The following is a 15028-nucleotide window of genomic DNA, read 5'->3' on the forward strand; positions in this document are numbered from 1 at the left end:
TCACATAAAACCTCCTGATTTGATGTTATTTTACATTTAAAGGCACATTACTTAATTGGAATTTTTATAAAGGAAATAAGATAGCTTCTTACCAGTTTATTGTAATACATGTAATATGTTAGATATGTCGAATGCAATTACTATCAGATGAACAGTTCTTTTCCTACTCTTTCATGAATCTGTTTTAGAGCAGTCACTTAATGTTTGTCGTTTTTCATTTCCTTATTAAAACTGAAATAAATGAAATGACCTGAGAATCCTTCTAACTCTAAAATTGTGTAACTTTTTAGGCTTAGAATTTTGACTTGAAGTCATTTTTTCCTTCACATACTTCTAATTAATAAAACCTTAAAAATAATTTTTGTTACAGCATTTCTAAATGTTCTTCTTCCTAGCCCTTAAAGCAGATATTTTTCTAATATCCAGTTGCCTTCTTTGAATTGGCAATACTGTGTTACACACCTGACTTGCGCTCATCTCAAATAGAATATCTTACCTTTGTTTTTCATTAAAATACACACACACATATAGAATATATGTGGCATTGTGACTCCAGGCACCTTCAGGTGTCAGTAAAGGAATGATGATTAATCAGCCATTTTCTTGTGTTTCTGGGAGCCTGAAGTTTTCAGGTACATGAGGATTAATTCTATATTTGATAAAAGAGCCAGTTGATCAGTTCGAATAGGTAATTAACTGCTAAGCTTGTAAGAAACATTTCAACTTGTGATGAGAGGATGATCCTTAGGCAATCTCAGTGTGGCAGAAGCTATAATCAATGTATGCATCTCAGATAAAATTATAGTCTCATCTACCCTTTGCTCAACATTTTTACACTGACCCAGTACCTCTAAAAAGAGAATGTAGTAGAAATCAGGAATCCTCTGTTCTAGTGTGACTCTGCCCCTAATTTTCTGGTCACATAAATTGGAAGGTCACATAACCTTTTAAGGCCTGAGCTTTCTTGTCTGCAAAATGAGGGTGATAGAACCTATTAAACAGTTATTGTGGGAATTATTTTAGTTAACATATGTGAAAGAATTTGAATTCTTAAATAACTTCTGCTTTGCCAGACAATTTAGGTATCTTATTTGCTAGTACAAGTTTTTGTAACCTGGATTTGGTGTGTAACCTTAGATAGACTGTAGCATTTTGGGTATGATCAGATGTAACCTCTTTAAAGAAAAAAAAAAAAGGAACAGCTGAATTTATTTACTTCTTGTTTCAAGGAAGAAAATCGTAGTTGCCTCTCCTATCAAGTAAACATGTCCATTTTTAAAAGACAGTCAGCTCCCCAACAGGGATTATAAATTGAACAAATGAAAGACGGCTTTTCAGAATAAAGTATTCAATTTAATTCATTTTCTTTTCTTGTTTGACTTTGAACTTTTAATCTTCTTGGTAAATATCAAAGGAATTCCCTAGTTACTTTGCATTTACATTTTGCATTGGTTACTGTCATGGACTGCATATTTGTGTGCCCTCAACATTCATATGTTGAAATCTAATCCCAATATGATGGTATTTGGAGGTGGGACCTTTAAGAGGTAATTAAGACATGAGAGTGGAACCTTCATGAAAGACATAAGTGCCCTTATAAAAAGATGCCAAAAAGCTAGCCCACTCCTTCCACCATGTAAGGAGAGAATGAAAAATTGGTAGTCTGCAACCCAGAAGAGGGCCCTCACCAGACCTGACTATGCTGGCATCCTTATATTGGACTTCCAATCTTCAGAGCTGTGAGAAATAAATTTCTGTTGTTTCTAAGCCACCTGGTCTATGGTATTCTGTTACAGCAGCCTGAACTAAGACAATTACAGTTGACCCTTGAACAACACAAGTTTGAACTGTGCATGTCAACTTCTACATTATTTTTTCTCTGTTCAGTCAAGGATGGAAAAATACATTATTAATGTAATGCAAAACCTATATATGTGGAGGGCCAGCTGATATGGTGTGGCTGTGTCCCCATCCAAATCTCATCTTGAATTCCCACATGTTGTGGGAGGAACCCAGTGGGAGGTAAGTGAATCATGGGGCAGGTCTTTCCCATGCTGTTCTCATGATAGCAAATAAGTCTCACAACATCTGATGATATTATAAGGGGGAGTTTCCTTACATAAGCTCCTCTCTTGCCTGCTGCCATGTGAGACGTGCCTTTCACCTTTTGCCATGATCGTAAGGCCTCCCCAGCCACTTGGAACTGTAAGTCCAATAAACCTCATTCTTTTGTAAATTGCCCAGTTGTGGTTATGTCTTTTTTTTTTTTAATTATACTTTAAGTTTTAGGGTACATGTGCACATTGTGCAGGTTAGTTACATATGTATACATGTGCCATGCTGGTGCGCTGCACCCACTAACTCGTCATCTAGCATTAGGTATATCTCCCAATGCTATCCCTCCCCCCTCCCCCGACCCCACCACAGTCCCCAGAGTGTGATATTCCCCTTCCTGTGTCCATGTGTTCTCATAGTTCAATTCCCACCTATGAGTGAGAATATGCAGTGTTTGTTTTTTTGTTCTTGCGATAGTTTACTGAGAATGATGATTTCCAATTCCATCCATGTCCCTACAAAGGACATGAACTCATCATTTTTTATGGCTGCATAGTATTCCATGGTGTATATGTGCCACATTTTCTTAATCCAGTCTATCATTGTTGGACATTTGGGTTGGTTCCAAGTCTTTGCTATTTTGAATAGTGCCACAATAAACATATGTGTGCATGTGTCTTTATAGCAGCATGATTTATAGTCCTTTGGGTATATACCCAGTAATGGGATGGCTGGGTCAAATGATATTTCTAGTTCTAGATCCCTGAGGAATCGCCACACTGACTTGCACAATGGTTGAACTAGTTCACAGTCCCACCAACAGTGTAAAAGTGTTCCTATTTCTCCACATCCTCTCCAGCACCTGTTGTTTCCTGACTTTTTAATGATTGCCATTCTAACTGGTGTGAGATGGTATCTCATTGTGGTTTTGATTTGCATTTCTCTGATGGCCAGTGATGATGAGCATTTTTTCATGTGTTTTTTGGCTGCATAAATGTCTTCTTTTGAGAAGTGTCTGTTCATGTCCTTCGCCCACTTTTTGATGGGGTTGTTTGTTTTTTTCTTGTAAATTTGTTTGAGTTCATTGTAGATTCTGGATATTAGCCCTTTGTCAGATGAGTAGGTTGCGAAAATTTTCTCCCATTTTGTAGGTTGCCTGTTCACTCTGATGGTGGTTTCTTTTGCTGTGCAGAAGCTCTTTAGTTTAATTAGATCCCATTTGTCAATTTTGGCTTTTGTTGCCATTGCTTTTGGTGTTTTGGACATGAAGTCCTTGCCCATGCCTATGTCCTGAATGGTAATGCCTAGGTTTTCTTCTAGGGTTTTTATGGTTTTAGGTCTAACGTTTAAATCTTTAATCCATCTTGAATTGATTTTTGTATAAGGTGTAAGGAAGGGATCCAGTTTCAGCTTCCTACATATGGCTAGCCAGTTTTCCCAGCACCATTTATTAAATAGGGAATCCTTTCCCCATTTCTTGTTTTTCTCAGGTTTGTCAAAGATCAGATAGTTGTAGATATGCAGCGTTATTTCTGAGGGCTCTGTTCTGTTCCATTGATCTATATCTCTGTTTTGGTACCAGTACCATGCTGTTTTGGTTACTGTAGCCTTGTAGTGTAGTTTGAAGTCAGGGAGTGTGATGCCTCTAGCTTTGTTCTTTTGGCTTAGGATTGACTTGGCAATGCAGGCTCTTTTTTGGTTCCATATGAACTTTAAAGTAGTTTTTTCCAATTCTGTGAAGAAAGTCATTGGTAGCTTGATGGGGATGGCATTGAATCTGTAAATTACCTTGGGCAGTATGGCCATTTTCACGATATTGATTCTTCCTACCCATGAGCATGGAATGTTCTTCCATTTGTTTGTATCCTCTTTTATTTCCTTGAGCAGTGGTTTGTAGTTCTCCTTGAAGAGGTCCTTCACATCCCTTGTAAGTTGGATTCCTAGGTATTTTATTCTCTTTGAAGCAATTGTGAATGGGAGTTCACTCATGATTTGGCTCTCTGTTTGTCTGTTGTTGGTGTATAAGAATGCTTGTGATTTTTGTACATTGATTTTGTATCCTGAGACTTTGCTGAAGTTGCTTATCAGCTTAAGGAGATTTTGGGCTGAGACAATGGGGTTTTCTAGATATACAATCATGTCATCTGCAAACAGGGACAATTTGACTTCCTCTTTTCCTAATTGAATACCCTTTATTTCCTTCTCCTGCCTAATTGCCCTGGCCAGAACTTCCAACACTATGTTGAATAGGAGTGGTGAGAGAGGGCATCCCTGTCTTGTGCCAGTTTTCAAAGGGAATGCTTCCAGTTTTTGCCCATTCAGTATGATATTGGCTGTGGGTTTGTCATAGATAGCTCTTACTATTTTGAGATACGTCCCATCAATACCTAATTTATTGAGAGTTTTTAGCATGAAGGGTTGTTGAATTTTGTCAAAGGCTTTTTCTACATCTGTTGAGATAATCATGTGGTTTTTGTCTTTGGCTCTGTTTATATGCTGGATTACATTTATTGATTTGCGTATATTGAACCAGCCTTGCATCCCAGGGATGAAGCCCACTTGATCATGGTGGATAAGCGTTTTGATGTGCTGCTGGATTCGGTTTGCCAGTATTTTATTGAGGATTTTTGTATCAATGTTCATCAAGGATATTGGTCTAAAATTCTCTTTTTGGTTGTGTCTCTGCCAGGCTTTGGTATCAGAATGATGCTGGCCTCATAAAATGAGTTAGGGAGGATTCCCTCTTTTTCTATTGATTGGAATAGTTTCAGAAGGAATGGTACCAGTTCCTCCTTGTACCTCTGGTAGAATTCGGCTGTGAATCCATCTGGTCCTGGACTCTTTTTGGTTGGTAAACTATTGATTATTGCCACAATTTCAGCTCCTGTTATTGGTCTATTCACAGATTCAACTTCTTCCTGGTTTAGTCTTGGGAGAGTGTATGTGTCGAGGAATTTATCCATTTCTTCTAGATTTTCTAGTTTATTTGCGTAGAGGTGTTTGTAGTATTCCCTGATGGTAGTTTGTATTTCTGTGGGATCGGTGGTGATATCCCCTTTATCATTTTTTATTGTGTCTATTTGATTCTTCTCTCTTTTTTTCTTCATTAGTCTTGCTAGCGGTCTATCAATTTTGTTGATCCTTTCAAAAAACCAGCTCCTGGATTCATTGATTTTTTGAAGGGTTTTTTGTGTCTCTATTTCCTTCAGTTCTGCTCTGATTTTAGTTATTTCTTGCCTTCTGCTAGCTTTTGAATGTGTTTGCTCTTGCTTTTCTAGTTCTTTTAATTGTGATGTTAGGGTGTCAATTTTGGATCTTTCCTGCTTTCTCTTGTGGGCATTTAGTGCTATAAATTTCCCTCTACACACTGCTTTGAATGCGTCCCAGAGATTCTGGTATGTTGTGTCTTTGTTCTCATTGGTTTCAAAGAACATCTTTATTTCTGCCTTCATTTCGTTATGTACCCAGTAGTCATTCAGGAGCAGGTTGTTCAGTTTCCATGTAGTTGTGCAGCTTTGAGTGGGATTCTTAATCCTGAGTTCTAGTTTGATTGCACTGTGGTCTGAGAGATAGTTTGTTATAATTTCTGTTCTTTTACATTTGCTGAGGAGAGCTTTACTTCCAGCTATGTGGTCAATTTTGGAATAGGTGTGGTGTGGTGCTGAAAAAAATGTATATTCTGTTGATTTGGGGTGGAGAGTAGTGTAGATGTCTATTAGGTCTGCTTGGTGCAGAGCTGAGTTCAATTCCTGGATATCCTTGTTGACTTTCTGTCTTGTTGATCTGTCTAATGTTGACAGTGGGGTGTTAAAGTCTCCCATTATTAATGTGTGGGAGTCTAAGTCTCTTTGTAGGTCACTCAGGACTTGCTTTATGAATCTGGGTGCTCCCGTATTGGGTGCATATATATTTAGGATAGTTAGCTCTTCTTGTTGAATTGATCCCTTTACCATTATGTAATGGCCTTCTTTGTCTCTTTTGATCTTTGTTGGTTTAAAGTCTGTTTTATCAGAGACTAGGATTGCAACCCCTGCCTTTTTTTGTTTTCCATTTGCTTGGTAGATCTTCCTCCATCCTTTTATTTTGAGCCTATGTGTGTCTCTGCATGTGAGATGGGTTTCCTGAATACAGCACACTGATGGATCTTGACTCTTTATCCAATTTGCCAGTCTGTGTCTTTTAATTGGAGAATTTAGTCCATTTATATTTAAAGTTAATATTGTTATGTGTGAATTTGATCCTGTCATTATGATGTTAGCTGGTGATTTTGCTCGTTAGTTGATGCAGTTTCTTCCTAGTCTCGATGGTCTTGACATTTTGGCATGATTTTGCAGCGGCTGGTACCGGTTGTTCCTTTCCATGTTTAGTGCTTCCTTCAGGAGCTCTTTTAGGGCAGGCCTGGTGGTGACAAAATCGGTCAGCATTTGCTTGTCTGTAAAGTATTTTATTTCTCCTTCACTTATGAAGCTTAGTTTGGCTGGATATGAAATTCTGGGTTGAAAATTCTTTTCTTTAAGAATGTTGAATATTGGCCCCCACTCTTCTGGCTTATAGGGTTTCTGCAGAGAGATTCGCTGTTGGTTTGGTGGGCTTCCCTTTGTAAGTAACATGACCTTTCTCTCTGGCTGCCCTTAACATTTTTTTCTGCATTTCAACCTTGGAGGATGTGACAATTATGTGTCTTGGAGTTGCTCTTCTCGAGGAGTATCTTTGTGGCATTCTCTGTATTTCCTGAATCTGAATGTTGGCCTGCCTTGCTAGATTGGGGAAGTTCTCCTGGATAATATCCTGCAGAGTGTTTTCCAACTTGTTTCCATTCTCCCCGTCACTTTCAGGTACACCAATCAGACGTAGATTTGGTCTTTTCACATAGTCCCATATTTCTTGGAGGCTTTGCTCCTTTCTTTTTATTCTTTTTTCTCTAAACTTCCCTTCTCGCTTGATTTCGTTCATTTCATCTTCCATCACTGATACCCTTTCTTCCAGTTGATCGCATCGGCTCCTGAGGCTTCTGCATTCTTCACGTAGTTCTCGAGCCTTGGTTTTCAGCTCCATCAGCTCCTTTAAGTACTTCTCTTTATTGGTTATTCTAGTTATACATTCATCTAAATTTTTTTCAAAGTTTTCAACTTCTTTGCCTTTGGTTTGAATGTCCTCCTGTAGCTCAGAGTAATTTGATCGTCTGAAGCCTTCTTCTCTCAGCTCGTCAAAGTCATTCTCCATCCAGCTTTGTTCCGTTGCTGGTGAGGAACTGCGTTCCTTTGGAGGAGGAGAGGTGCTCTGCGTTTTAGAGTTTCCAGTTTTTCTGCTCTGTTTTTTCCCCATCTTTGTGGTTTTATCTACTTTTGGTCTTTGATGATGGTGATGTACAGATGGGTTTTCGGTGTGGATGTCCTTTCTGTTTGTTTTCCTTCTAACAGACAGGACCCTCAGCTGCAGGTCTGTTGGAATACCCTGCAGTGTGAGGTGTCAGTGTGCCCCTGCTGGGGGGGGCCTCCCAGTTAGGCTGCTCGGGGGTCACGGGTCAGGGACCCACTTGAGGAGGCAGTCTGCCCGTTCTCAGATCTCCAGCTGCGTGCTGGGAGAACCACTGCTCTCTTCAAAGCTGTCAGACAGGGACATTTAAGTTTGCAGAGGTTACTGCTGTCTTTTTGTTTGTCTGTGCCCTGCCCCCAGAGGTGGAGCCTACAGAGGCAGGCAGGCCTCCTTGAGCTGTGGTGGGCTCCACCCAGCTCGAGCTTCCCGGCTGCTTTGTTTACCTAAGCAAGCCTGGGCAATGGCGGGCGCCCCTCCCCCGGCCTCGCTGCTGCCTTGCAGTTTGATCTCAGACTGCTGTGCTAGCAATCAGTGAGATTCCGTGGGCGTAGGACCCTCCGAGCCAGGTGTGGGATATAATCTCGTGGTGCGCCGTTTTTTAAGCCGGTCTGAAAAGCGCAATATTCGGGTGGGAGTGACCCGATTTTCCAGGTGCGTTCGTCACCCCTTTCTTTGACTCGGAAAGGGAACTCCCTGACCCCTTGCACTTCCCAGGTGAGGCAATGCCTCGCCCTGCTTAGGCTCGCGCACGGTGCGTGCACCCACTGGCCTGCGCCCACTGTCTGGCACTCCCTAGTGAGATGCACCCGGTACCTCAGATGGAAATGCAGAAATCACCCGTCTTCTGCGTCGCTCACACTGGGAGCTGTAGACCGGAGCTGTTCCTGTTCGGCCATCTTCGTGGTTATGTCTTTATCAGCAATGTGAAAATGGACCAGTATAGTAAATGGGTACCAGGAGAGTGGGGCACTGCTGAAAAGAGACCCGAAAATATGGAAGCAACTTTGCAACTGGGTAACAGGCAGAGACTGAAACAGTTTTGAGGGCTCAGAAGAAGATAGGAAAATGTGGAAGAGTTTGGAACTCCCTAGAGACTTGTTGAATGGCTTTGACCAAAATGCTGATAATGATATGGACAGTGAAATCCAGGCTGAGGTGGTCTCAGATGGAGATGAGGAACTTGTTGGGAACTGGAGCAAAGGTGACTCTTGTTATGTTTTAGCAAAGAGACTGCCAGCATTTTGACCCTGCCCTAGAGATTTGTGGAATTTGAATTCGAGAGAGATGATTTAGGCTATCTGGCAGAATAAATTTCTAAACAGCAAAGCATTCAAGAGGTGACTTGGGTGCTGTTAAAGGCATTCAGTTTTAAAAGGGAAACAGAGCATAAAAGTTTGGAAAATTTGCAGCCTGACAATGTGTTAGAAAAGAATATCCCATTTTCTGAGAAGAAATTCAAGCTGGCTGCAGAAGTAAGGAGGAGCCGAATGTTAACCACTAAGACAATGGGGAAAATGTCTCCAGGTCATGTCAGAGAACTTTGCAGCAGCTGCTCTCATCAAGCCCAGAGGTTTAGGAGAAAAAAAAAAATGGTTTCATGGGCAGGGCCCAGGGTCCCTCTGCTCTGTGCAGTCTAGGGACTTGGTGCCCTGTGTCCCAGTCACTCCAGCTGTGATTAAAAGGGCCCAAGGTACAGCCCGGGCTGTTGCTTCAGAGGGTGGAAGCCCCAAGCCTTGGCGACTTCCACATAGTGTTGAGCCTGCGGGTGCACAGAAGTCAAGAATTGAAGTTTGAGTACCTCTGCCTAGACCTCAAAAGATGTACGGAAACATCTGGATGCCCAGGTAAAATTTTGCTGCAGGGGCGAGGCCCTCATGGAGAACCTCTGCTAGGGCAGTGCAGAAGGGAAATGTGGGGTCAGAGCTCCCTCACAGAGTCCCTTCTGGAACATTGCCTAGTGGAGCTGTGAGAAGAGGGCCACCATCCTCCATACCCTAGAATGGTAGAACCACCAACAGCTTGCACTGTGCATCTGGAAAATCTGCAGACATTCAATGCCAGCCCATGAAAGCAGCCAGGAGGGAGTCTGTACCCTGCAAAGCCACAGAGGTGGAGCTGCCCGAGACCATGGGAACCCACTTCTTGCATCATCATGGCCTGGATGTGAGACATGAAGTCAAAGGAGATCATTTTGGAGCTCTAAGATTTTACTTCCTCACTGGATTTCAGATTTGCATGGGGCGTTTAGCCCGTTTGTTTTGTCCAGTTTCCCCCATTTGGAACGGCTGTATTTATCCAATGCCTGTACCCCCATTGTGTCTAGGAAATAACTAACTTGCTTTTGATTTTACAGGCTCATAGGCAGAAGGGTCTTGTCTCCTCTTGGATGAGACTTTGGACTGTGGGCTTTTGAGTTAATGTTGAAATGAGTTAAGACTTTGGGGGACTGTTGGGAAGGCATGATTGGTTTTGAAATGTAAGGACATGAGATTTGGGAGGGGCCAGGAGTGGAATGATATGGTTTGGCTGTGTCCCCACCCAAATCTCATCTTGAATTCCCATGTGTTGTGGGAGGGACCTGGTGGGAGGTAACTGAATCATTGGGCAGATCTTTCCCATGCTGTTCTCATGATAGCGAATAAGTCTCATGAGATCTGATGGTATTATAAGGGGAGTTTCCTTACACAAGTTCCTCTCTTGCCTGCTACCATGTGAGGCTTGCCTTTCACCTTTCACCATGATTGTGAGGCCTCCTCAGCCACATGGAACTGTAAGTCCAGTAAACTTCTTTCTTTTGTAAATCGCCCAGTCTTGGGTATGTCTTTATCAATAGCATGAAAACAGACTAATACACCAGCTTTTCATATATGCAGGTTCCACAGGGCCAACTGCAGGACTGGAATATGCACGGATTTTGGTATATGTGAGGGATCCTGGAACCAATCCCCAGAATACACTGAGGGACAACTGTACTATAGGTTTTTATGTTTAAATATTTTATTTTGATGAAGTGATCTTTAATGGTTCATTCTAGTAACCCAAGGATATGCTTTAAATTTATTGAAGTCAATAGGAAAATGTGATTTAATACTTAAGAAATTGCAGTAAAACAAAGGAAAAAAATTTCCTTTCTGAGAATTCTTATTTGCCTTTGATATCTAATTCTTATGGTTACCATTTGGCATTTAGTGAACCCCTAATAATATATTGAATGATACTTCAAGTTATGTTACAGATCTAAGAATACTTGGCCAAACTGATCTATGACTACAAAAAGAAATTCTGTTGCAGTGACTCATACAACAAAAATGTTCCCAGTTTGTGAGTGACGCTCTGTGTTATATTTACTTCCCTAATATATAGTCACCTTTCATAATAGTGTCAGCATAATATACTAAGACAAAGAGGATCTACTGAAACTTCTCTTGCAACCATTAGGACAAACCCGGTATAAGACTATGCCTCCAGTTACCTGGGTGACCTTACCCTGTTAAAGTCTTATTTATAAAATGAGGGCTGACACTGGATTATTGCTAAGGTTCTATCTATCTGGAGAAATTATCAACCAGGAGAGCTTAATGGTATTTGTCACCTATTCTTATTTTTCCTAAGAGATCTTTTTCATATGATAGTGACATGATCATTCTGATGAAGTCCTTCCAGCTTCTAATAAAATCTAGGAAACACAGTTGTTATTCACCCCATAGTAATGAAGAAACCTGTCCTGTGCACTACAAGGAGCTTCTTATGTTCTGAGAAGAATTGTTATTCACCTTTGATCTCTAGTCCTTAAACTCTGTAGTCGGCATTTAATGGATGTCCACTAATATTTAGTTTGGTTTGTGTTGCATATTATGGAAAGCACTCATCTATATTTAATGTCTATGCCACTGCCTGTGAATTTGTGGGAAGACAAGTGTATTGTAAAGTCAAATTCCTGCCACTCCAATTTTCTACCAGCATCTAAGTCCTCACAGCTGTGCTTTAGTGCCCCAAATTTGTTATTAAGCCCATAATCCCAGCTACTTGGGAGGCTAAGGCCGGAGAATTGCTTGAACCCAGGAGGTAGAGGTTCCAGTGAGCCAGGATCACACCGTTGCACTCCAGACTGGACAATAGCAGTGGAACTCAGTCTCCCCCCAAAAAAAAAAAATAGACATTTTTATACATATCACGGACAGGTTTTATATATGATCTTGTTTCTTGTGGACTGTAAGCTACTTGAGGTTAAAAGCTCTACTTTATTTATTTATGTCCCTCCACTGTTTACTACTACTTAGCACATATACGACAATCAGTTACATTTACTAAGTTGATGATTATAAGGAATCACACACGATATAATAGCTGAGTTGTTAATGAAAAAAAAATCAGTTTCTTTGTAATGATTCCTCTCTACCAGAAAAACAATCAAGAACCCGTTGTATGTGGTAGCTTATGTAAGAGGGAAGCTTCTGGAAAAGCACCTGCCAATTGTCACTGTTATATTTTCAGAGACAAAAGACAAATATAGTCACAATCACTGGTATAATTTTCATGACCTCTAAACAGTTCTGTATTTTTTAATGACTACAGAAATTTATTGGTTATTTTCAGTTTAGTTTTATGCAGTCTGGCAAAGTAATCAGATTAAGTATGTATGTATCACACACTTTTTCACTTATAGCAGTAATCCTTTATCTGCATCAGTCTAATTTAGTGCTTTGGGCAATAGAGTAATGCAGACTAAATCAAAGCTGGATATGAGCCAAGATGATGAGTTGGAAAGATCCCTGGCTTTGTAATTAGATAGACCTGGATTCCCATTAATTGAGGTAATGAATGTAAAATACTGAACACAGTGCCTGGCTCCTGGTAAGTTGCCCCATAAATGGTAGCTAATGTTATTTTACTTTAAAGAGTGCATAGTTTTTAAAATAATCATTAGGTAGGAAGAGCTGTGGTAAAGGAGTGAAGTTTGTTTCCTTGAAAGTACAGTTTACCAGCATGCAGTATATCTTGTTATTTGTTAGCTCTGTGGAAACATGCCTACCTAAAAAGGAGACTCAGGTTCTGAAACAGACCAAGAATGAAAGCACCAACTAACTCTTTTGTGAGGCCTTGTGCTTTTTTATTCAATGGAAGATAACAGTCATCAGATTGGGGTAGGGTCTAATGGTGGCAGCCAACTAGTGTGTGTTTTAATTGTGTGTGTTGCATGATGAGAGGTTTAATGCCTTAGGCAAGTCACTAGATGAGCTCAACTCTAAGAGTACATTTTCTTTAGTAAAAATAAGGCCAATACTATTTGTGTTGCAAAGTTATGAAGATTGATGATTATGTCAGTAAAATGCCCAGTGCCTGGCATTTTGAAAATGCTCCTATAAATTGAACCTTAATTTTTCTCATTATTATCATTGTTATTTTTATATAATGATCTGTGTATTTAAGGTGGGTTTGTCCTTTGAGGATCCTCTTCGCAATATTTTCCTGTTGCTTAGAAACACATCCTTTAAATAACAATAGAAGCTCTCTATGCATCTGAAAGTAGAAATGCTCTTAACTTTTTACTATTCCCACCTAAGCTTGTCTTCTAACATTACTTCTGATCTTTCAGAAGTACGTTCTCTTCGTGTAAAGGAATTATGGAAGAGTTTGCTGTCTGGCTAATCTTGCTATATGGTAGTATCTGCAGTTTTCCCAAGAGGAATGCGTTCATTTTGTGCTATCTAATTGCCAGTCTTAATGTATTCATATTGGCAAGTTTTCAGTATTCTGTCCCTACTTTTTTCCTTTTCCCTGTTGGCTGTGGTTTGACTTTGTTCCCCCAAAGTTTGTGTGTTTGAAACTTCATCCCAATGCAATAGTGTTAGGAGGTGGGATCTAATAAGAGGTGATTGGGTTGAATAAAGTAAGTCCAATCCCTGGTGCCTCTCTCTTGGTCCCTCTGTGTTTGCTTGCTATTCCAACATGTTATAACATAGCACAGAGGCCCTTGTCAGATGCTGGTACCATATTCTTGGACTTGCCAGCCTCCAGAACTGTGAGCCAAATAAATTTCTTTTCTTTATAACTTAACTAGTCTGTGATATTCTGTTATAGCAACAGAAAACGGACTAAGAGACTTGTGATGATTTGATTTAATTTTACTTTTTCCTGATAGTTTTAAGATTTTATTCTAAATACACTCTCACTGAAGAGTTCGTAATGCCATCTTATATTATTTTACTCTATATTTTTGTCTTTACTCTCTATCCTTTGATGTACTTGTTGTGACAACTTTAATCATGTTTAGACTGGTTTGTGGAGAAGAGAGGATCACAACAGGTACAGAAATAGGCTATAGACTTTATATGGCTGTTGTCAGTCTTTTCTATTTTATTATCTTGGAGTTGAACTTATGTAGGACATTACTGGCTACGGTAAAGAAATCAAATAAAAAGAAAGGACAGTTCTTTCAATCTTGTATTAGATTTATAGCCTACCAAAGGAACTCCATTGTTGATGCTGATAAACAAATGAATGGAAATTCAGAATGGTTATAGTAGTCCAGTGAGCTTTGGAAGGTTGTAAGCTTTCTGGGCCTTAGTTTTCTTCAGTACAAAATGGACATATTAACTGAGCTTTCTATTTCCGTGGATTGTATAAAGATCAGATGAAATATAGTTCACCCTTGAACAACACAGGAGTTAGGGGAACTGACACCCCCCCGACACACCCACACAGTCAAAAATCTGAGCGTAACTTTAGACTCCCCAAAAACTTACCTGCTAATAACCTACTGTTGACTGAAAGCCTTACCAGTAAAATGAACAATTAACACACATTTTAGTGTTGTATGTATTTGTACTATGTATGCCCTTAAAATAAAGGAAGGTAGGGGAAAAATCATGAAGAGAAAATATATTTACTATTCATTTAGAGGAAGTGGGTCATCACAAAGGTCTTTATTCTCATCATCTTCATGTCAAGGATGCTGGAGGAGGGGAAGGGGCTGGTCTTAGTGTCTCAGAGGTGACAGAGGCAGAAGGAGTAAGCCGAGAAGGTGGAAGGGGAGGAAGAAGTGGCAGGCACATTTGATGTAACTTTTATTGACAAATATCTGCATATAAGTGGACCCGCACAGTTCAAACCTGCATTATTGAAAGGTCAACTGTAATGTGAAACACATATAAAAATAATGTGTCTATCATCAAAGCATTATATACTTCATGATTTTAAAGTGTTAGTGACCAAGTAATCCTTTAAGGAAAGAGACTGTGTTGCCATATCATACTTATTAACTTATTGTTGTCTGTCTTCCAAAAAGGATTTGAAGCAAAAGTCACTAATGAAGTCATTGAATTGAATATGTTATTGGTGATAGAAGTGAAGTGAGAGGAAATCCGAGGAGAAATGCTTTGTAAGAATGTTGAATTCATTTGCTACATAGGCAGTAAATATTTAGGTAGCACATCTTCATAGAAGGAATAAAATGTGCAAATTTGATTGTTGTTGGCAAAGACTGATTTTTAAAACAACTGTAATACACAGTAGATCTAAAGAGATACTGCCTACCAAAGGGTAAGAGAAAAAGATTAGGATAATAAATTACAAATTAGCTTGACTTTGAGAATTTGGGGGAAATGTTGAAACTTACAGAGAAAGAATAAATTTAGGGAAATAATAATGTAACCAG

The 15028-nt window shown here is 39.8% G+C and overlaps 1 protein-coding gene across 16 annotated transcripts in view, besides 1 other annotated feature; it reads left to right on the forward strand.

The window, feature by feature from the left end:
• Window positions 1–15028, forward strand: part of RANBP17 (RAN binding protein 17) — a 437998-nt gene that overhangs the window by 219686 nt on the left and 203284 nt on the right. The gene's annotated exons all lie outside the window — the stretch shown is intronic.
• Window positions 7446–8013: an enhancer, noted in NCBI's record as "H3K27ac-H3K4me1 hESC enhancer chr5:170516153-170516720 (GRCh37/hg19 assembly coordinates)". NCBI's record gives its function as "activates a minimal SCP1, AML or CMV promoter by ChIP-STARR-seq in primed H9 embryonic stem cells {active_cell/tissue: H9 hESC(primed)}" and the evidence as "EXISTENCE:reporter gene assay evidence [ECO:0000049][PMID:30033119]".

Source organism: Homo sapiens, chromosome 5 (assembly GCF_000001405.40).
Source record: "Homo sapiens chromosome 5, GRCh38.p14 Primary Assembly".
Lineage (NCBI taxonomy): Eukaryota > Metazoa > Chordata > Mammalia > Primates > Hominidae > Homo > Homo sapiens.